This window comes from Homo sapiens, chromosome 8 (genome assembly GCF_000001405.40).
Source record: "Homo sapiens chromosome 8, GRCh38.p14 Primary Assembly".
NCBI lineage: Eukaryota > Metazoa > Chordata > Mammalia > Primates > Hominidae > Homo > Homo sapiens.
In genome coordinates, this window is record NC_000008.11 from 26,264,754 (window position 1) to 26,287,661 (window position 22,908).

At 43.7% G+C, this 22,908-nt stretch overlaps 3 annotated features.

Moving 5' to 3' along the window:
- Positions 1,180-1,474: an enhancer, noted in NCBI's record as "tiled region #858; HepG2 Activating non-DNase unmatched - State 20:ReprD". NCBI's record gives its function as "activates a minimal TATA promoter and a strong SV40 promoter by Sharpr-MPRA in HepG2 cells {active_cell/tissue: HepG2}" and the evidence as "EXISTENCE:reporter gene assay evidence [ECO:0000049][PMID:27701403]".
- Positions 1,180-1,743: a biological region, named in NCBI's record as "Sharpr-MPRA regulatory region 858".
- Positions 1,244-1,743: an enhancer, noted in NCBI's record as "H3K4me1 hESC enhancer chr8:26123513-26124012 (GRCh37/hg19 assembly coordinates)". NCBI's record gives its function as "activates a minimal SCP1, AML or CMV promoter by ChIP-STARR-seq in naive and primed H9 embryonic stem cells {active_cell/tissue: H9 hESC(naive and primed)}" and the evidence as "EXISTENCE:reporter gene assay evidence [ECO:0000049][PMID:30033119]".

Sequence of the window (22,908 nt, forward strand, 5' to 3'; positions counted from 1 at the left end):
GAAGAAGAAAGAAAGAAAGGAAAGAAGAAGGAAAGAAGGCAGGGAGGGAGAGAAAAGAAATTAGAGCCAAAAATAGGATCCAAGTTTGTTGTTGTTGTTTTTGTTTTGTTTTGTTTTTTTGGAGACAGAGTCTCGCTGTGTCGCCCAGGCTGGAGTGCAATGGCACAATCTCGGTTTGCTGAAAACTTCACCTCCAGCGTTCAAACGATTCTCCTGTCTCAGCTTCCCGAGTAGCTGGGATTACAAGTGTGCACCACGATGTCCAGCTAATTTTTGTATTTTTAGTAGAGACGGAGTTTCACCATGTTGACCAGGCTTGTCTAGAACTTCTGACCTCAAGCGATCCACCTGCCTCCACCTCCCAAAGTGTTGGGATTACAGGTGTGAGCCACCAAACCTGGCCAGGATCCAAGTTTTAAAAATTTTTATTATGACAAATTCTAAATATTTATAAAGTAAATACAATATTATAATGGAGACTTATGTACCTACCTGTCACTCCCCATACCTCACTTGATTATTTTACATATATATTTTTCAAGGTAAAAATTTATATACGTTAGCCTGATTTAGTGGCTCACGCCTGTAATCCCAACACTTTGGGAGGCTGAGGTGGGCAGACTGCTTGAGCCCAGGAGTTCAAGGCCAGCCTAGGCAACATGCCAAGACCCCATCTCTATTAAAAAAAGTTATATACAATAACATGCACAAATCTTATCAGGATCCTTTTTTAAAAACATTCCCATCTTGTTTAGCAAAAATCTGGCTCTATTGCCTCCCAAGTGTAAATGCTATTGCCGGATTTCCTGCTGTTTGCTACCCTGAGTTGAATCATCCTTCCCCTGCTTGAGGTTTAGCTGGGAGAGGATGAATGCTTTTGTTCTCAGTCAGAAAGCATATGGGATGTCAAGTCTGGCTGCTGCACTGTTATGCACTCACAGTGACATCCAGGTATGCCTCCTTCAAACCATCTCCCTGGGCCACAGTCAAGAGCCTCCTTCCAAAAGGGAAGCTCAGAATCCCTTAGCCATGTCCCACTCCCCAGACAACCTGGCAGCCCCCACCTGAATGCTCACTACTCTTGAGTCGGCTGATTGGGCCATCATTAATATATCCAACTCTCATTTACTTAGTCCCAATATGTGCCAGGGAGTTGCCTAGACTTGATCTCATCTCAGAGAGATCCGAACTTATAAAACTCTCATTTCCCTTTACAAGCTGGAAAACAAAATATAAACTTGTCTTCCATCTCATGGCAGGAGATGAGTCAGCAGAACAGGAAATTCTCCTTGCACAAGCCCTTCTGATCCGTGGGTTGGGTGTGTGTGGTATCGAGCGAGGGCTGGGAAGGGAGCCGGCTCCTCTCCTGGAACCACTCTGAAAGGTGAACAATGCGAGTTGGCCGGTGAGTTCAGAACTGTTGACACACACCTTGTCAATTAGAAGTGTCCCAACATGTTTTGGGGAAAGCTGAGCTGCTTCCAAATAAGGAACAGGGCAAATAAGGAAACTGGTTGTTGCCAACGTCTAGGTGGCTTCAGAATGCAAGAGGTTGGAGGAGTTACTGCCCATGAAACTCAAGATGCACTTGAGCGGCAAGCCCAGCTTTGGCGGATGTTTGATGAAAGATGAAGCTTAAGGTGGGTTTCAAGGAAGGTCCTTAAATGCCACAAAAGCCCTGGTAATACAAGTATGCACACGCAGTGAATTGCAGAAGGAAGGGAGCTCTAGGGGTTGGAAATGTCTACACAATGTCTACCACTTCTGGCCCAATCTCTAACAACCCTGCAGTCCCCTGAAGAGATCCAAGCTCTAGTCTGGTGTTATTCCTAAGGAGCTGAAACTTGGGATAAGTCATTTAATTTCCGTAGACCCTCATTTCCTCATCTGCAAAAAGAAGGCATTAAACACGATGAGCTCTTCCACTTCTGAATCCTGTAGCTGCATTGCAAACTCAAATCAGTTTACCATGACCCCACTTTTTCCTTTTCTTCCATGACTTTGCCAATGAGATGATGAGGGAGAAATAGCTGAGGCTGGCTGTTAGATCAAGCCAGACTCTTTAAAATAACTAGTCTGTGGGAATCAGGCATTGCAAGTGTGTGTGTGTGTGTGTGTGTGTGTGTGTGTGTGTGTACACGTTTCCATTAGGTGGGGCAAGGAAGCGGTTTCTGCAGTGTAGAGGGGGAAGCATTCAGTCAGCTCTAAATGTTTCAGCTTTGCAGAAAATTGCATGCAGCCAAGAGAGAGGATTCAGATTTTTGCGCAGGAGAAGGAGGTGGGGGAGGAGTGCATGAGCTGATATTCCAGCTCTGAATTCAAAAAAGGATAAGAATGCAGTTAGAAGAGTAGGCTGAGAATGAGGCAAGAGGTAAAAATATGCTAGGGCTTTTAAATAGGGTGTAGCCAGAGCTGGTTCCATCCTACTCTTCCACTCTGCCTGGCTTTTTACATTCAGCTGGCCTTCCCCTCACCCCACCCGGACCCACTCTAAACTCTTTCAAGGCTCCGATCCCCCTCCACTTCCCCCACGAGAAATTATATAGGAGCCAGGGAGGAAGTGACACATTTTCCTGCCTGAATGGAGCAGGCCCCTGAAGCAGCGTCTCTCGGCCTTTCAGCAGTTTTATCTCACCCTGGCCATCGCAGCCGCCTGGTTCCTCGTACAATGCTTCCCTCTGGCTGAACCCCACTGATGACTAGAACGCCTAAGGAGGCTCCGTGCTAGAGGTTTGGGACATCCATACAGGGCTCCAGTCCCTCTCACATGCAACTTCCGGTCAAACATCAATGATTAGAGCTTTGTTAGACCAACGAACCACTCAGAGCCCTGCCCCTGCCCCTCGGCATGTGCTGGATTCTTGGAAGGTAAAGTAGGAGAATCCCCAAGTTGGCAATCCTCGATGCCTGAATTTCCATGCCAGATCTCTCACTTCCTAGCTATGTGACCTTGGGCAAGTTACCCAGCCTCTCTGAACCTCTGTAGTTTCATCTGAAAGGAGAGATTGATAATAACAACTGCTTTGCAGGTTCTAAGGAGGATTTAATAAAAGCGTGGATAAGATGTGCCTGAAGCATTGGAAGTAGTGGAGAAGTTTTGCTCTGTCACCCAGGCTGGAGTACAATGGCACAATCATGGTTCACTGCAGCCTCAAACTCCCAGGCTCGATCAATCCTCCCATCTCAGTCTCCGGAGTAGCTGGGACCACAACTGCATGCCACCACACCCAGCTAATTTTTGTGTTTTTTGTAGAGATGGAGTTCTGTCACATTGTCCAGGCGGGTCTCGAACTCCTGGCCTCAAGTGATCTGCCTGCCAGGCCTCCCAAAGTACTGGAATTACAGGTGTGAACCACCACGCCCAGCCCTTTATGGCAGTTTTTATCAGGACCTTCGCACTTAATTTTATGCCACTGTATTGTAGTTCTCTTAGTGGCACCAAAAACGTAAATCAGCATTCCAGTCTAACACCTTATTGGTAGCTCCCAAAATGAACAACTAAAGAGATACTAACAGAATAACAAAACTACCTAAAAATGAAGACTGAAGTTAAAAACATCATGGGCAACAGGAGCCTCTAGTCCTCTCCAGTACCCAACTGTTTTGCTTGGCTTTTTTGAGACAAGGTCTCTTATGTTGCCCAGGCTAGCCTCTAACTCCTGGTCTCAAACAATCCTCCTGTCTCAGCCTCCCAAATAGCTGGGACTACAGGTGCATGCCACAGCACCCAGTTCACTGCTGTTTTTGCCCTGCCTAGTATCTCTACTACATAAAATTTATCTTATTGGGCTGGAATGATCTGTTTCCATACTGTCTCTTACAAGACTAGAGTCTATCCTGTCCAAAACTTGGTTTATTTCATAGTTCGAAAATGTATACTTTCTTCATTTTCTCTTAGAATGTTAAAATATCATTCCCCCACCCCACCTCCACCTCTAGGACTTTCCCTACCCGCTTTTGAGGGAGCATGGCCCTGCTAACACCTTGATTTCAGACTTCCGGCCTCCAGAACTGCAGCAGAATGCTTCTAGAAGGCAGGGACATGCCTCCTTTATCTTTGTATCTCCAGAATTTAGCCTAACAAAATACCTAGGGGGTAGGTCAACGTTGGCCTCTTCTGTTCACTGGTGTAGTCCATGCATGTCGCATGGTGCTGTTACTTGTGCTGCAACAGCACTGTGGGATTTCGGGGCCTCAAGCTCCTCATCCGTGTCAGAGTGTTTCACTGGGGTCAGTGGACTGAGTGCTCTAATCCTAGTTCTCCAGTGGGTCACGGCAGAATTGGGCAGATTTGAAAAGATAGATTCCAGGTTGCGTGTGGTGGCTCACGCAGTGGGTAGATCACCTGAGGTGAGGAGTTTGAGATCAGCCTGGCCAGCATGGTGTAACCCTGTCTCTACTAAGAATACAAAAAATTAGCCGGGCGTGGTGGCACGCGCCTGTAATCCCAGCTACTCAGGAGGCTGAGGCAGGAGAATCGCTTGAACCCAGGAGGCGGAGGTTGCAGTGAGTCGAGATCATGCCGTTGCACTCCAACCTGGGCAACAAAAGCGAAACTCTGTCTCAAAAAAAAAAAAAAGAAAGAAAAGAAAAGATAGATTCCTGGACTCCATTCCTGAATAATTCAATAGGTCTGGGGTAGGGCCTAGATGTTTGTACTTAAGCAAAAAAAAAAAAAAAAAGAAAGGAAAAAAGAAAAGCTTTAAAGATGATTCTGGAACAGGACGAAACTTAGACCTCACTGTACGAGATGTTTCCAATAATTTTGCAAGTAGTATGATTATATATGTCATTTTGACTGATTTCAAAAGACTCCAGGCCATCAAGAGTGTTTTTCTAGGCTGATATGTGAGTATATAGAGCTTAATTTAAACAAATGGTGCCTCGGGAGGATTAGTGATCACGCACCCTTTAAACCGATGAACTTTTTAAATCCTGTATTTAGCAGGGTTACAGAAAAATTGATTTTTTTTTAATCAGAGAAGTTCAGGAGAACTGATTTTTTTAATTTTTATTTATTTATTTTTTTGAGACAGAGTCTCGCTGTACCGCCCAGGTTGGAATGCAATGGCACTATCTTGGCTCACTGCAACCTCTACTTCCCAGGCTCAAGCAATCCTCCCGTTTCAGCCTCCTGAGTAGCTGGAATTACAGGCGTGTACCACCATGCATGGCTAATTTTTGCATTTTTTGTAGAGACGGGGTTTCTCCACATTGCCCAGGCTGGTCTCAAACTCCTGAGCTCAAGGGATCTGCCCACCTCTACCTCCCAAAGTGCTGGAATTATACACGGGTGAGCCACCGCTCCCAGCCCAAGAACTGATTTTTTAAAGAAATAAATATTAATACATATTATATACCTCTTTATGTTCAAAATAAGGAATGTATTTTTTATTTACATTTTATTTTTTTGAGACAGAGTCTCACTCTGTTGCCCAGGCTGGAGTGCAGTGGTGCCACCTCAGCTCACTGCAAACTCTGCCTCCCAGATTCAAGCAATTCTCCTGCCTCAGCTTCCCGAGTAGCTGGGATTACAGGCACCTGCCTCCATTCCCAGCTAATTTTTTTTTTTGAGACGGAGTCTGGCTCTGTCGCCCAGGCTGGAGTGCAGTGGCGCAATCTTGGCTCACTGCAAGCTCCGCCTCCCGGGTTCACGCCATTCTCCTGCCTCAGCCTCCTGAGTAGCTGGGACTACAGGCGCCCGCCACTACGCCTGGCTAATTTTTTGTATTTTTAGTAGAGACGGGGTTTCACCGTGTTAGCCAGGATGGTCTTGATCTTCTGACCTCGTGATCCACCCGCCTCGGCCTCCCAAAGTGCTGGGATTACAGGCGTGAGCCACTGCGCCCGGCCTAATTTTTGTATTTTTAAGTAGAGAGAGGGTTTCAACCATGTTGGCCAGTCTAGTCTCAAACTCTTGACCTTGAGTGATCCACCTGCCTTGGCCTCCCAAAGTGCTGGGATTACAGGCATAAGCCACCACACCTGGCCCAAAATAAGAAATTTATTACATATATTTTTTTTCTGAATTGCTGAACCAGACTTCTTAGAAGACAACATAATTTTTAAAAAAATTTTTGTAATTGGGCAGCCTCCCAAACGAGAATTGGTTTAGAGAGACTCCTTTGTAATTTCAAATTTAAATGAAAGTAAATTGTTCCAAATAAAGAACACGGTGTCATCCATTATTCAGGTAACTGTCAGCTAGCTGCCTTCAAGGCAGGACCTGAATGAAGCTGCACCTGGATCCTACATGCATGTGTCACAAAATGCTAAAGGGTGGGGGGTGGGGGGGGGGCGAGCGGGGAGGATAGGACGCAGGGTTTTGTTTTTATTCAAGGGTAATCTCTACTTTGGTGATAACAAGACCAATTTAGATTCACAAATTAGGTAACAAACCTGAATTAACTCGCTGGGGTTGCTTGACTTTATTCCAGTGATGGTTTTGTTTGTTTGAAGACAGGCTCTCACTCTGTCACCCAGGCTGGAGTGCAGTGGCGCGATCACAGCTCACTACAACCTCGACCTCCTAGGCTCAATAAAGTCTCCCACCTCAGCCTCCTGAGTAGCTGGGACTACAGACATGCTCCACCACACCCAGCTAACTTTTATATTTTTTGTAGGGTTTCACTATGTTGGCCAGGCTGGTCTGAAACTCCTGGGCTCGAGCGATCCACCTGCCTCAACCTCCCAGTGCTGGGATTACAGGTGTGAGCCACCGCACTCAGCCCCAGCAATGGTTTAACACACCTTTTAGACTGATATCCCAGGTGGCCACTGGTCTGCCTCTTTGCACCTCAAGTGCTAACTAGATAACAAAAGGTCACCTCTGCACCCTCATAAATATATTTTCTCACTCTCCCAGGTCAGTGTTTTAGACACAACTGTGCAGGCTGGGGAAGAAGAGGTCAGGGATGGAGGAGGGAAGTGGGTCTACTTTGAACTGCATCAAATTCCCTCCCAAGTGACTGAGGGAGGAGCCCGATGGAGAAGCTCTAGAGAGTCGGCTTCTCTTAGCTGGGGGCGGCCAAGGGAGCGTCCAAAATATGTGCACAAAGGACCACAAAGCCTGCAGGCAGACACACCGCCAAAGACGTGGATGACAGCCAGGCACAACACCGGCCAAGTTGGAATGGGACAAAGGAGGCGTTGTGCTCATCGGTTGAATTATCCCAGCGTGTTCATAGCTATTCTTTGTTTTTCTTTTCTATTTTGACGAAAAATGTTGCAGTTTTTTACCTTGTCACTGAACAATAACAAACTTGTGACATTTTACAACACACAGGAGATTTAGTAAACTTGTGACCATTCTAGGGTGTTTCTGACACTTACAGAAACATGTTTCGGTCTTGTGGGGCAGCAGGGTGTTGTGTGTCTGCCTTTCTGTGTCCCCATGCTTTGTGAATGTCACTGTGTGGCTTCTGGTGCCAACACGGCAAGATAAGATCAGTTACATGGCTGCAAGATCCCCAAGGATGGTCTCTTTGATGGCAGTGGAGGGCATGGACTTCAATACTGCTGCCCACAGGGCTTCCCAAGAGCCCCTTCCTAGCAAGTCACTGGCAGAGCAATTGCCTACCATCGAGTTGCAGGAGAAGGCTCAGGATTTAACAGTGCACTAAGTTACAAAGCTTTGGCTGAGTGAAAGAATGAGACATGCACAGATACCATGCTTTCCGTCCCTTTTTAAAGGCTGAAGTGATAGGATGGAGATCACAGACATTTTGAAAGTGGCCACAGAGTTTATTTCTCTGGAAGGGCCAGAAGTTTGCCCTGAAGGACATCCAAGCGCCTTCCACTTTGAGATCCAAAGCTGCAAAGCACATTTCCACACGTGGCCTAGAGGAGATGGCTCCTTCTGTAACAAGGAGGACTTGAATTTAGATGGAACCATTTCTGCAGGGCCCGCGGATGGGGATGGTATAAAAGGGCACAGATTTCATGATGGTACTTGCAGACTTTCTTCAGAGGGATTCAGTCCAATCACAAGAAGATCGGGGTTGAGGCCAGGCATGGTGGCTCACATCTGTATTCCCAGCACTTTAGGAGGCCAAGGCAGGTGGATCACTTGAGGTCAAGAGTTCAAGACCAGCCTGGCCGACATGATGAAACACCATCTCTACTAAAAATACAAAAATTAGCTGGGTGTGGTGTTGTGCACCTGTAGTCCCAGTTTCTCAGGAGGCTGAGACAGGAGAATCTCTTGAACCGAGCAGGTGGAGGCTGCAGTGAGCCAAGATCGCACCACCGCACTCCAGCCTGGGTGACAGAATGAGACTCTGTCTCAAAAAAAAAAAAAGAAGACTAGGGGTGAGTTAACCTTCCAGGTAAAACCAAAGATGATTGCAAAGTCATCATCAATGTGTAAACCAAAAATAAAATTCTAAGCCCCTCAACTAACTGAACAGACTCCTCTCTGCCAACGGCATTCGAAAGTTAACCTGAAACACTGCTTCAGGCCATAATGGGATAGGCTGGGGTGTCGAACTTGCCTCATACCCTGTTTCCTTTCAGAATTCAGGCACAGCTGACCAGCATTAACATTAACACAGAGACCTTAAGACCGACGAAATACACTCTTTATAGCATTAAGATACCAACATGAAAGAGAGCAGGCCGTGAAGTAAATCGAAACATTTTACCTCAAAATATATTTATTTAATATATTTAGAAATGGCCCTGCCAAGCTGTCTTATAGGGAAAAGCTGCATTCTATGGAGAATTCCTTTCCCTTTCTGGGTCTTTTTCCTGGTCCATGAGAAAATTAACTGAGTCTGGCACCTTTTAAAGTCCAATTAGAGACATTTACTATCCCTCCGAAGCCTGCTACCTGGAGGCTTCATCTGCATAATAAGAACCTTGGTCTCTACAACCGCTTATCTTTTTTTTGAGACGGTGTTTCACTCTTGTTGCCCAGAATGGAGGGCAATGGCACAATCTCGGCTCACTGCAACCTCCTGCTCCCAGGTTCAAGCGATTCTTCTGCCTCAGCCTCCCAAGTAACCGGGATTACAGGCCTGCACCACCATGCTTGGCTAATTTTATATTTTTAGTAGAGATGGGGTTTCTCCACGTTGGTCAGGCAGGTCTCGAACTCCTGACCTCAGTTGATCTGCCCACCTCGGCCTCCCAAAGAGCTGAGAGCCACCGTGCCCAGGCTTACAACCCCTTATCTTAACCCAGGCACTCCCTTCTATTGATTCCAAGGTCTTTAGATAATAACTTAACCCTTTCAACTAACTGTCAATCAGAAAATCTTTGAATCCACCTATGATCCGGAAGCCCCCTTCCTCCTGCCACCTCTTCTTCCTACTTCAAGTTGTCCCACCTCTCTGGACTGAACCGCGAACCAATGTGTATCTTACATGTATTGGTTGATAACTTATGTCTCCCCAAAATGTATAAAACCAAAAGCTGTAGCCTGACCACCTTGAGCACGTTCTCCGGATCTCCTGGGGCTGTGTCGCAGGCCATGGTCACTCATATTTGGCTCAGAATAAATCTCTTCAAATATTTTACAGTTTGACTCTTTTCATCAACAAAGGTTTGGAGTCACAGTATCACTTTTCTTCAAAATCATGTCACCCTTGGCCACTTAGGAAATTGTTCATGTTCTCAGAAGCAACTTTGCAGTGGTGTGATCATGGCTCACTGCAGCCTCGAACTCCTGGGCATAAATGAGCCTCCTGCCCCAGCCGCCCAAGCAGCTAGGACTACAGGTGCACCCCATCATGCCAAGCTAATTTTTGAATTTTTTTTTATAGTAATGAGGTCTTGCTATGTTGCTGAGGCTGGTCTTAAACTCCTGGACTCAGCAATTTCTCCCACCTCAGCCTCCCAAAGTGCTGGGATGACAGGCATGGGCCAACATGTCTGGCCTGGCAGTAACTTTTAAGTGAGGGGAAAGAAGCCCTTTGTAAATAAATAGAACACATTTCATTGCATCTTATTCCAGTTCCCTCAGCTGGAGTGTTGTCACCTTAATTTATCCGATTGTATTGTCATCCTAAATTTCTAGCCCAGTAATAACGGTAAGGAGGATGAAAGGCGGCAGTTCCTCTGCAGCAGTGACATTTTTTCAAAACCTTCATTACCCTTTGGCCAGTCTGCCATCTCGTTTTTGAGGTGTTTAGTTAAGGATGGACCCTGGAGTCAGACTATCTGGGTTTGTATCTGCTGTATCTGGGTTTGTATTTGATGTCTATTAGCTGAGGGACCTTGTAGAGTTATTTAAACTCTCTGTGCTGCTTTCATTTTCTTCCAGGAAAATGAGGGTAATAGTACCTACCTCATAGGGCTGTTTTGAGGCACAAGTGAGAATGTGTGCAAAGGGTGAAAAGATGTGCTGGCACTGTTAGAAAATGCAAGGGAGGTTTTTGCTGCTTGTGTTGCTGTTGTGATTCCCAATTCACCTAGTGAGCACCAGGAGCAAAAACTGGCCATGCCGGGCCAGGCACGGTGGCTCACACCTGTAATCCCAACACTTTGGGAGGCCGAGGCGGGTGGGTCCCTTGAGGCCAGGAGTTCGAGACCAGCCTGGCCAACATGGTGAATCGCCGTCTCTACTAAAAATACAAAAATTAGCCAGGCGTGATGGTGCATGTCTGTAATCCCAGCCACTTGGGAGGCTGAGGAAGAAAAATCACTTGAACCTGGGAGGCAGAGTTTGCAGTGAGCCGAGACTGCACCACTGCCCCCCAGCCTGAACAACCGAGCAAGACTCTGTCTCAAAAGAAAATAAAAGACAAGAAAAAACTGGCCATGCTGATGCTTTACATAGCCCACCTGTGGGACAGGATGGACATATTAATCCTATTTAATTAGGGAACAAAGTCTAAGAAAAATGCAACATTTTATTGCAAGTGAACTTTTAACCAGGAGGACTGATTCACAGGGACTAACCTTAAAGGGCCAGTATTCTACCAGTACAAGGGTATTTGCCATCCCAAATACATTATCTTATATGGTTTTTCTCGTTCCAGTAAATCAGTGGTTCCTAATATTTTAGGTCATGGACTCCTTTAAAAAAATCTGATGAAGCCAGGCATGGTGGCTTGTACCTCTAGTCCTAGCTACTTGGAAGGCTGAGGTGGGAGGATTGCTTGTGCCCAGGAGTTCAAGACCAGCCTGGGCAACACAGTGAGAAGTGCAACTCTCATCCATCACAAAAAAAACAAAAAAAAAAAGTTGATGAAAACTATGAACTATGTACCCTCTGCTCAGAACAGTGCATATTCACATATGCATAGACTATTTTGCATGCAAAAGCATGAGGTTCACTGACCTCAAGTTAAGATATCACTGCTATGTACATGGGAGAAGTAGAAAAAGAAAGTTATGGAATGGAGCTTCTTTCCAAAATTCTTTGAGGCACATCTCCATGGTGATTGTTTCAAATGTCAAGTTCTAGGGCCACACTTTTATAAGATGAACCTTGGGATTCAATTATTTTTTCCATTATTTTTAACTTCTCTTGCAGTGGTTCTCAGCCCTAGTTCTATGTTAGAATCACACATGGAGATTTTTTAAAAACTCCAATACCCAAGCCACACTCTAGATCAATTAAGTGAGAATATCTGGAGGATGGGACCAAGGCATAAGTAATGTTTAAAGCTCCCCAGATGATTTGAGTGTTCAACCAAGGTTGAGAAACACAGCTGTACTGCCTCTCCTTAATTAAGAGAATAATTCAGTGGATCTGGGCCTTCCAGCCCCCTACAAATCCCCATTTTTCTTTCCATATCTTTTCTGTGTAGGGTATGCCATATTTCTCTTTAAGCTAATAACTGGCTTTCATCTCCTGTTATTTAGTATGTCACAAAGACGTGTATTGTTCAACTACCACTTAAGACTTCATTTAACTCTGAGCTTATGATGGGGAGAAAAAGAAGCAGAAGGAAAAGCACATGCTGTTCAGGATTGTTAAACCCCATCCAATCTCATGAGTATGCTTTACTGAAAGAGCCGAAGACAGAGAGGAGGTGGTGGCAAAAATAAATAAATAACTAAAGATGATTTTGAAGACGTAGATGACTCAATGAAACCTGCATGAGCGGAGAAGACCAGAGACACAAGGCAGAAACATCTAAGGAGTGAGGTTCCTTTCATCGTAGAAGGTGAAGATCGAATAGGTGGGATTTGAGTAGGCCCCAAATCAATTCTTTTTTTCCGGTAGAGTCATAATTTTAGAGCTAGAAGATACCACTGAGATACACTAGTCCTCTTTCTTTCAGTCCTCTTTATCCTTGCCCCAACCAGCTGAGGCCTCAGACAGAGACATCACCAACCTGAGAAAGCAACCAAGGTTGGTGATGTCTCTGAGGTCTCAGCTGATGGGGGCAGTGATAGGGGCTGGCATAGCTAGGTCTCCTGAATTTAGAGTGTTCTCCCACCTTCCACAGTGCTAGGCTGACAGAGGCTCCTATGGCTAAGAGACACTAGGTGAGCAGAGAAAGCTAATAGAACATATTAATAAGGTGACCATATATATTTTTTTGTCTAAACCTAGACACTTTTAAGGGTAAAGGAGATGTCTTAGTTCATTGGGATGCTATAACAAAATACCATAAGCTGGCCAGCTTATATGCAATAGAAATTTATTTCTCACAGTTCTGGATGCTGGGAAGTCCAAGATCAAGCACTGGCCGATGTGCCATCTGGTGAGGGCCTACTTTCAGGCTTATAGATGGCACCCTCTGTGTCCTTATATGTGGGAAGGGGCTAGCTAGCTCTCAGGGGTTTCTTTCATAAGGGCATTAATCCCATACAAGAGAGCTCCACTCTCCTGACCTAATTATCTCCCAAAGGTCTCACCTCATAATACCATCATTTTGAAGGTTAGGATTTCAGCATATGAAGTTGGTTCTGGGTTGGGGTGCAGGGAAGGGGCACAAACATTTGGACCATAGCAGGAGACAACAGGTAAACCTGGACTTATTTGTCTCAAAAATCCATTTGCTATCTTTCTTCATTTTTACATAATCTGTCACCTTACTGATATTTCTACCATCAATACTACTTCTGTGAAAGAGTGGCTCTTAGTAGCTGTACAGTGACCTTGAACTCACCTGTGGGTTCTTCCAGGGGCGAATTCTGAGCTGTCAATCAAAAGAAAAGTTTCCTGGTTCTGACTCCCGTTACTTCCCTCTCCTTTTCCTTGCTTCCATCTGGATCCAAGCATTCCTATAGGGTAGCAACATGGACTCTTGGGAGAAGGGCTTCACAGACACACTTGCAGTGGTAGTAAGGTCTCAGATATGTGTGTTCTGCCCCCTCTCCACTTTCTTCCTTGTGGGGACTTTCTGCCTGTGAACCCTCCACTCTGCCTGAGGTCTCTCTGAGCTGACTTCCCTCTTTCCCAGACAAGCAGTGTTCCTTCCCAGGTGAGCACAATATTTCTCCTTTCCTCAATAGATTTTTCCTTGTTGAAAAGGCAACGTTTTGATCTCTGTGACTTTTTTGCTTGTTAGAAGACAGGCCTGTCCTCTTTCCATACAGGGCCCAGTTCAGCTCAGACTGGATTTAGTATCCATCAAACGTTGATCACCAGCAACAATGGCACCTCTAGTCAGTTTTCCGTAGGTGCTGTTCTTAAGTTCTTGTGTTAACAATGTACTCTTCTGGAACCTTCTAAGAACAGAGTATTATTTATTTTTTTTTTTCTTTTTTCTTTTTTGAGCCAGGGTCTTGCTCTGTCACCCAGACTGGAGTGCAGTGGTACAATCATGGCTGACTGCAGACTTGACTTCTGGGCTCAAGCGATCGTCCCACCTCAGCCTCTCAAGTAGCTGGGACTACAGATGCACACCACCACACCCAGCTAATTTTTGTATTTTTTGTATAGACGGGGGTCTCACTTTGTTGCCCAGGTTGGTCTCAAACTCCAGGGCTCAAATGATCTGCTTGCCTCTGCCTCCCAAAGTGCTGGCATTACGGCTATAAGCCACTGCACCTGGCCTGAGTAGCATTTTCTTAAATGAAAGGAATGCTGTTTCCAAATGGGCTAGTTAAACATCTCTCCTGTAGCACCTGGTTTTTCCCCAAGGAGTGTAAGGTAGTTACAGACTCCGAGATATTTGGTAAGCCTTTTTATGAGTCTTCTGATATGAAGTGAATTCCTGCTATAAAACTCTTGAGATTGTGGCTTTGGCGACTCCATTTCCAAATCAAAATAGGGACCAATCGGGAACAGGATTCAATTAAGGTTACACAATCCCTATGACATATATATATATTTCAGTTATCAATACTTTCCTATTCACTCAAGCGATTGTTGCTTCATCTTCAGCTCTCCTAACATGGCAGCTGACTAAATCATCCGAGTTCTTTGCGGCTTACCCACCATTGGCACTCCTTGATCTGCTGTCACTGTAGGCTCTTGTGATATGGAAGTACCTTATGCCCATTTATTCTTGGATGTCTCTGTACCTGAGCTACAGCACTGTCTCCCGACTTCAGTGGAAATGTTACTGCCTTATCACGTGGTCTTGATGTTTATTAGCTTCCCGTCCCTTACACAAGGCAGTATTTTCCCCTGGATAACTTGCTTGAGGCCGTGAAACCTGCTGTGATAAAAGAGGTTACATTATGGAAGTGGGAACCCGTGTCAGAGGGAAATCTTAGCTTTGGAAAGAACTCTGGCAGGAACATAGGTGGGACACCCTATAGAATCCTCATGTGACCTTCAAAAAGAAATCGTACACTTTTCCTTCTGCAACTTGGTTGGGACTGAGAACTTCGCTGTGGTGGAGGAGGTTAGATTGTGGAGGTGGGTGCTTCAAATAGCATTTGCAAGGTGGTGTCTCATCTAATTTCCCTTGCTGAAAGCAACTTGAAGTCTAACTTTTGTTATAGCTTTATTGTCTTCCATATTAAGAGGTTATTACATTTAAATTTTTATTGCAAAGCTACCAATATACCATGTCAGAGAGGTTTTTGCAGATCTGTTAGGCATAAGCTGGATTTGATTCGTTAAGCTTTCAATTTTCTCTAAGGCCGTGTTCAAGGGTTTGTGGAAGCATTCATAACCTTTTTTCAGGGAGGGTGGGGGAGTCTGTTCTAAAGACGAGGGTACAGTAAAGTCATACTAAGACATTTGGGGTCCTCATGGGTGAGTTTACATATTTCACCCCCAAGGAATTTTTACTTTGCCAGTTATGGTTTATTTTTAAAATGTGTTTGAGGACACATCTTCTGGATCAGAGTACAGTACAAAGATAAACGGTATGGAATAAGCAGCTTGGTGGGATAATGTAAGAAGCATTAGATTGAGTGGATTGAGAGCCAAAGACTGGCTCCCAGCTCCCAGCCTCTCCTCCATCTAGCTGAATGAACTGCATGCAAGCTACCAGCCTTTAATAACAAATGCCTTAATCTCTTAAAACCCCCATTTCCTCATTTCTCTTATGAAAGTCTTTGAGATCATGCACATGACAAACAAAGTTAATATACTGGCCGAATGCAGAGTATTATTCTTGATTTTGTTATAATAATATAATATTTGAAACCTGAATTATGGTAAAAATGGAAGTGGGCAGGGCTTTGGCTCACTCCAAAATTTGGAAGGCGAACTGAGGAAGATCTGCATTGACATCCCTTTTCCCCATATGTCCAGGGGCTTCCAGTGCTCAAGGCAGCCTCAGTCAATGTTGGACCAGGCTTGGTATTCACAAGTGCTGTGGTTGAGATAGGCCTTTGTGAAGTGTACGCCGATATCAAAGGCTAATTCCCAGATGGTTAAGTGGCCACTGAATTTTTGTTGCTCTGAGGGGGTCTAGAAGCAACATGGGCTGAACTTGGATATGATGGAACAGGATGCAGTAAACCATATTAAAGAACTCATAGGTTCTTGAGTTTATCAGACGCAATAGCTAGTGAAAACTGATTTAGAAGGTCAGCAGAGGCACATCATAGAATCTAGTATTTAGGATTGAATGCCCCATAGCTAAGACTGTGTGTACATAAGGTACTGGGGCTCATGGAAGTATTGTTTCATCAGTGTTGTCAATGAGTCCAGTGGAATAATGAAGGACAGTGCAGAATCTCGTCGTGGGGCACTGGAACAGCTATCAGCACTGAAGAATCGCCCATGACTTGTCACAGAATGCCCTGAGCTAGACATTAGAGAATAACGGCAAGATACAATAAACCTAATGTAATGGATGTCCAAAATGAGGTCAAAGCACAGAAGCAATAGTTGAAGTAAGTCCCAAAGTGCATTATCAAGCATTGGGGCAGAGCTGTGGGCAGACTTCTGGGGGAAATATGGGAGCAAACACTAGCTGGCAGTACAGTTAGAAATGCAAGGAATAGCCTGTAGCATATCCAAATAGATCTTTATTGCAACTCAAAAGCAACCTTTATTTGAAATCATAGATTTGTTTTGATGTCGGTTGGTTGGTCTTCATTCAAGAGTACACATATTCTAACATCACTATTTCACCATCTCAATAGGAAAGATTCACAACCAATGTACAGGCATATTTCAGGAACATCCTAAAATTGAAATTTTAAAATAAAACGGTTAGAGTTATCACGGAAAGGAAGGTCATCGTATGTGGAACATGTCAATGAAAGGAAATGCTTTAGGGTAAAAATACACTGATTAGAGAGGAAGGCTGATATAACTGTGGGCAGAGATTTATGTATGTGGAAGTCAATGAATCCACAGGCGGTAGTGTGCTGGTAAATGTTTGATAACCAGCTTTCTGGGAGTGTGGGGGAGCCCCAGTTTCTAGCATTTATTGATTTCTGAGGTATAAATATTCCCTCTGTAACCAATTTCTACCATACAGATATAATAGATGTGAATAACCCCAAGAGCATAGATAATAGTAAAACATAGTAAAATAATTAGGAAGTGATGAGTTTTGAATATTTATTACCTTTGTTTATAATATAACTTAATTATGTTTATATAATTTAATTTTTATTATTGTCTGTTTTTAACAAGCTCACAAAATTCCCAAAAATTTCACAATCATCTCTTTCGAGCTAGTATGAACTAGCTCCAGCACACCCCTGCCTGTGAGTGAAAGGACATCGGAGCATCTTTAGGGAAAGATGAAAAGAAAAAGGGACCAGGCGCGGTGGCTCACGCCTGTAATCCCAACACTTTAGGAGGCCAAGGCGGGTGGATCGCTTGAGTTCAGGAGTTCAAGACCATCCTGGGCAACATGGTGAAAACCTAGCTCTACCAAAAATACAAAAAAAATTAGCCAGGCATGGTGGTGCTGGCTTGTGGTCCCAGCTACCCGGGAGGCTGAGGTGGGAGGACAGGTTGAGCCTCGGAGGCAGAGGTGGCAGTGAGCTGATATCGCAGCACTGCACTCCAGCCTGGGTGACAGAGTGAGATTCTGTCTCAAAAAGAAAAAAAAAGAGAGAGAGAAAGGAATAGCTGTGAAAGATTTCGTTACTTACAAGGAAAAAATAGAGAAAGGTGGGTTTAGATTATTCTTCATATAAGTTAATGCATAACTGTAGAATGATTTTACTTAAATAATGCTCATTAATGATCAACTTCTTTTGCCCCACAGGCATGGGAAATGCTTCATACTATAGCTCATCTGCTGCAGATTTGGCACGTACATTAAAAAATCATATAATGAAGAATCTTTTATGCCTAGTGTTGCCCAACTTTTTTGACTGTAAAACCTCTTATTCCCCACAGAATACTTAATATCTATGGCAGATCAGTCAAGAAACTACTCAGTAGGTTGGTTGTAAGTATCCTGTCCTTCAACCTTCATGATTAATGACTTCAGACAAGTTATAGTGTGTTGATCAAATCTTTTGTACCATAGGAGATAGACTAAGTCAGTGATTCTCAAATTTGACTACACATCAGATTCCTCTGGAGGCTTCTTAAAAGACCTAATGAATCAGAATCTTCGGAGTTGGGGCCCAAGAAGATCTCTCTTTAAAAAATTCTTCCCATTACTCAGCAGTGAATATAAAATAAAATATTTTTAAAAAATTCTTCCCATCAGACAAGGGTACTACTACCCATAACATTTTTGGCAATATTTTTTTCCAATAATTTGTCAATGTGCTCTGAAAGAGTGCAAATTGATTGATTGATCAATTGAGACAGAGTCTTTCTCTGTAGTCTAGGCTGGAGTGCAGAAATGCAATCACAGCTTACTACAGTCTTTACCTCCCTGGCTCAAACTATCCTTCCATCCCAGCTTCCCAAGTAGCTGGGACTACAGGCACATGCCACCATATTCATTTTTAAAAATTTTTGTAGAGATGAGGTCTCCCTATATTGTCCTGGTCGGTCTTGAATTCCTGGGCTCAAGAGATCCTCCTGCATCTGCTTCCCAAGTTGCTGAGATTACAGGCATGTGCCACCACACCTGACTGAGTGTAGTTTTGAGCATGCAGTGAGACGGATACTACATTGTGAATTCAGGAGACTTTAAATATAACAACTTATCAATATTTTAAGATTATATATTTGAAATCCTCTTTTTTTAAATAATAATTTTTTTTTTTTTTGAGATGGACTCTTGCTCTGTCACCCAGGCTGGAGTGTAGTGGTGCGATCTCAGCTCACTGCAAGCTCCACCTCCTGAGTTCATGCCATTCTCTTGCCTCAGCCTCTCCAGTAGCTGGAACTACAGGCGCCTGCCATCACACCTGGCTAATTTTTTTGTATTTTTAGTAGAGATGGGGTTTCACCATGTTGGCCAGGACGGTCTCGATCTCCTGACCTGGTGATCCACCCGCCTCGGCCTCCCAAAGTGCTGAGATTACAGCTGTAAGCCACCGCACCCGGCCTTAAATAATAATTTTTAAAATTTTATCATAAAGACAGGGGTCTCACTATATTGTCCAAACTGGTCTTGAACTCCTGGGCTCAAGTGATCCTCCTGCCTCGGCCTCCTAAAGGGCTACAATTACAGGCATGAGCCACCATGCCCGGCCAGAAATCCTCTCTCAAAAAACATTTTGGCACTAAATTTTAAACTGAAGTCATTAATTCTCTAGAAAGAATTACAATTACATGGCTTTTTAGATATTCTGTACAAATTGTTTATATTGAATAATAATAAAATCTCAATGATGAAGGAAATAATACAGAATAACAAAACTTTATATGTGTTTGTTCAAGTATTTACCAAGTTCCTACTATGTTCTAGGGACTATGTATCAATAAAAAAAATGACCTATTGGGAAAAAGATTAGAGAGAGATGTGTGTTAACAGCTGTGCATGGGAAAAGGCTCGATCACAATATAAGGAGGTGCAGTCTGTGTGATTGTCAAATCCAAGGAAGTCCGGTTTGTAGAAAAGAACAGGTAACAGTTTCACTCAGGTGTATAATCGTCAGGCCTGAATTATTATATTTAGTTCTGGGCATCACTATTTGAGGCATTTGGAACAAGTACACTATATGTAGAGGGTACGCCCAAGATGAGATGCAGAGATTAAAGATGGGCAGATGAAGAAGCTTGGAAGAAGCTCATTGATTATTGTAGAGAAGAGAAAACTTGTGAGATGTAGTTATGTTCCAAGATCTAAATGACCTTCATTGAAGAGGGCTCAGATGGGACAGCCAGGGTCTGCTGTTTAAAGTTGCAATGAACATTCATACCATGATATTCAAGGTATTCATTTCTGTACAATGTACAGTGTAAGGCCGAATTACTTCGTGATCATAGCTCTCTAAAAACAGAATGCGTCTTAGTTCTCAGCTACTTGCAAATTTTAAGCCAAGGCTGAATGAGCACTGAAGGACATGTTACATAAGGAATTTAAGTATCCATTATGAGAACTGGGTTAGTTAATGCCTGAACTTCCTCCCAACCTTAAGCTTGTGTGTTTCTGTCATACATGCATAAAACACACACTTGTGTCATGGCTAATAACCTCAAATGCCACCTAAAAAATCTGCAGCATGGGCCTGGTGTGGTGGCTCATGCCTGTAATTCCAGCACTTTGGGATCCAGGTGGATTGCATAAGCTCAGGAGTTTGAGTCCAGTCTGGGCAACATGGCAAAACCCAACATTTATGAAAAATACAAAAATTAGCTGGGCGTGGTAGTGCACACCTTTGGTCCCAGCTACTTGGGAGGCTTAGCAGAAGGATCTCTTGAGCTTCCTTGGAAGCTCAAGGCTGCAGTGAGCCATGGAAGGTCAAGGCTGCAGTGAGCCATGATTGTGTCACTGCACTCCAGCCTGGGGGACACAGTGAGATCCTGTCTCAACAACAACAAAAAATCTGCAGCATGGACATACACTCATTCTTCAAACAAATAGGCTGTAATGTAATAGTTTACATTACAGGACATTTATGATCGTTCAATATGCAACACTGAAAATACATTTTAGAGATAATGTTTAATTTCACAAAGTTTGCATTTTATACCAGATATTCAGGTTATATCCTTACAGGATGTACCTGCCACAAAAGTATAATACAACATTTTCGGTTGCAATTTACAAACAGAAGGTAATTGCATGAACTTACTAATGTTTCCTTCGTTAAATGACACTGTCGCAATGTACATTGCAATGTAATCATGAAGTAATTCTGCCTTACATTATACATTGCACGGAAATGAATACCTTGAATGTCATGGTATGAATGTTCATTGCAACACTGAACACTGTTAAAAGACAAAGACAAAATGTTTCTCTATTTTATGCTAAAACCATGGATTAAGTCACATCTGTGCATACAGTTATAACGGACTACAACTTTCACTTTAAGGTAGAAAATAGGTAGCATAGATGTTATCAAGCTCTAATACCAGCATTAGAATGAATTTTCATAATTAAGTTTATTCTTTCCCTTTAATATATGTTAATTATAGAATATTTAGAGAAACGCAAGTGTCAAAGGAGAAAAAATTACCCATCGTGTCACTGTCCAGAGACATTACTGAGAACACCTTGGTGCATTTCCTTCCTGTCTCTTTCAGCTGTGCATATATTGTGTTTGTTTGTTGTACATACTTGCGTTCATATTGTATCTATATTTTTTATCCTGCTTCTAAGGCACAAGCAATGTGCCTTACAAACATTTGACTACTACATAGTAATCCACCTGGTAGATTCACTATCATTTTTGGGTTTATCCTTCTAGTGTAAGATATCTTAGTTATTTTATAGTCAGTTCTATACCTTGAATATCATGGTATGAATTGTCTTTATTGTGTAGACTCTGCAGAGTTTTGGGAAACTGACTTATAGGCCAAATGTGTAGCTATTAAAAAAGTAGGCTGAGAACGGTGGCTCATGCCTGTAGTTCCAGCACTTTGGGAGGCTGAGGCTGGTGGATCACTTGAGGCCAGAAGTTCGAGACCAGCCTGGCCAACATGGTGAAATCCATCTCTACTAAAAACACAAAAATTAGCCAGGTGTGGTGGCACATGCCTGTAATCCCCGCTACTCAGGAGGCTGAGGCAGGAGAATCGCTTGAACCCCAGAGATGGAGGTTACAGTGAGCCAAGATTGCGCCGCTGCACTGGGCAACAGAGTGAAACTCCATCTCGAAAAAAAAAAGTATATAAAAAACTGACAAGTCCTTATAACTTTCCCTGTAAAGCCCTTGCAATTGCTTCAGGTCAGAAGGCATAGCTATGGTGGGTTTGTCAAAATTCTAAACTGTAACCATTTTTAATCAGGGACCTCTCCCCTTACTCTTGAATTCATGGACTTTCCTGGATACCCCTTGGTCTAACCACCTAGAGGAGAAAAGCAGCTGAAAAGTGCCACTTCTCATTTAGTGTGTGGGGGTGGGGTGGGGGCGTGGGTTGTGTTCCTCTCAACTCCAAACATGCTTCATCGAGGAAAAGAGTAACTTTCAAATGTTTCTTCTTTGGTCATTCAGTATACTTTAAAAAGCCATCTTGCAGTAACCCATGGCTAAATCCTGTTGGCTCCATCCTGCTGGTGAGATTGTGAGTGTCTTTAGTACCTTTCAGCTCAGACCCAAAGCAGAACACTTCCAAGACAAACAGGCTGTCTACAACCTCACCAGGAAACTCCAGAGGGAGTTGTCTCCCTGTTTGTGCCTAAGCTGAACTCAGTTCTGCAGGAAACTATGAGTTTGTGTATCTTATATGTGGCCAGGTGTTGAAGTTCTGGCTAAAGGCTCACATTAAAGAAAACTTGGATGATAGCATCTGGATGAGGGAATGGTGTCCTACGGGATCCTCTTGGATAATATGTATTCAGGAGACAAAGGACCAGGTGGAAGTAGCTGGGATGAATCTATCTATAAGCAACTTACATATTTAAACAACTGTTGCCTGACAAATGTAGATCAGAATGACTGAGATCATTGTAAAACGTCTTTCTTCCACAGTTAAGGGTGAGTGACAACATTTATGATATGGCAAGCATTGAGGAGTCAACATTTCAGTGGTTTTCTTTAAGCCAGAGAGATTTATTCATTCATGCATTAATCCCACAAATTATGTGGCTGATGATATGGCAATGAATGGCATACTTCCTACCCTCAAAGAACTCAGTGTAGTAACAGACAAATATTTAGATAATTTGAGTGTGGTCTAGAAAGACAGAAGTGAACTGGATTTTACAAGAATATTGAGTAAGGGTGCCCAGCCCAGCTTAAGGTGGGTAGGAAATGGGGAACAATGTCAGAGAAGCCTTCCTGGAGGAAGTTAACATTGGAATTGTTTTTTAAAGAACAGTAGTTTTACTGGCTGAGGAGGAAGAAGGACGGCTGCTGGGAGTGTTGGGGTGGGGGTGGCGGGGTGCGTGGGAGTGTTGGGCTGGGGGTGGCGGGGTGTGTGGGAGTGCTGGGGTGGGGGTGGCGGGGTGTGTGGGAGTGTTGGGGGTGGGGTTGGCAGGGTGTGTGGGAGTGCTGGGGTGGGGGTGGCGGGGTGAGTGGATGGTAGTGCTCAGGAAAGGGACAGCATCAACCATGGTATGGAGG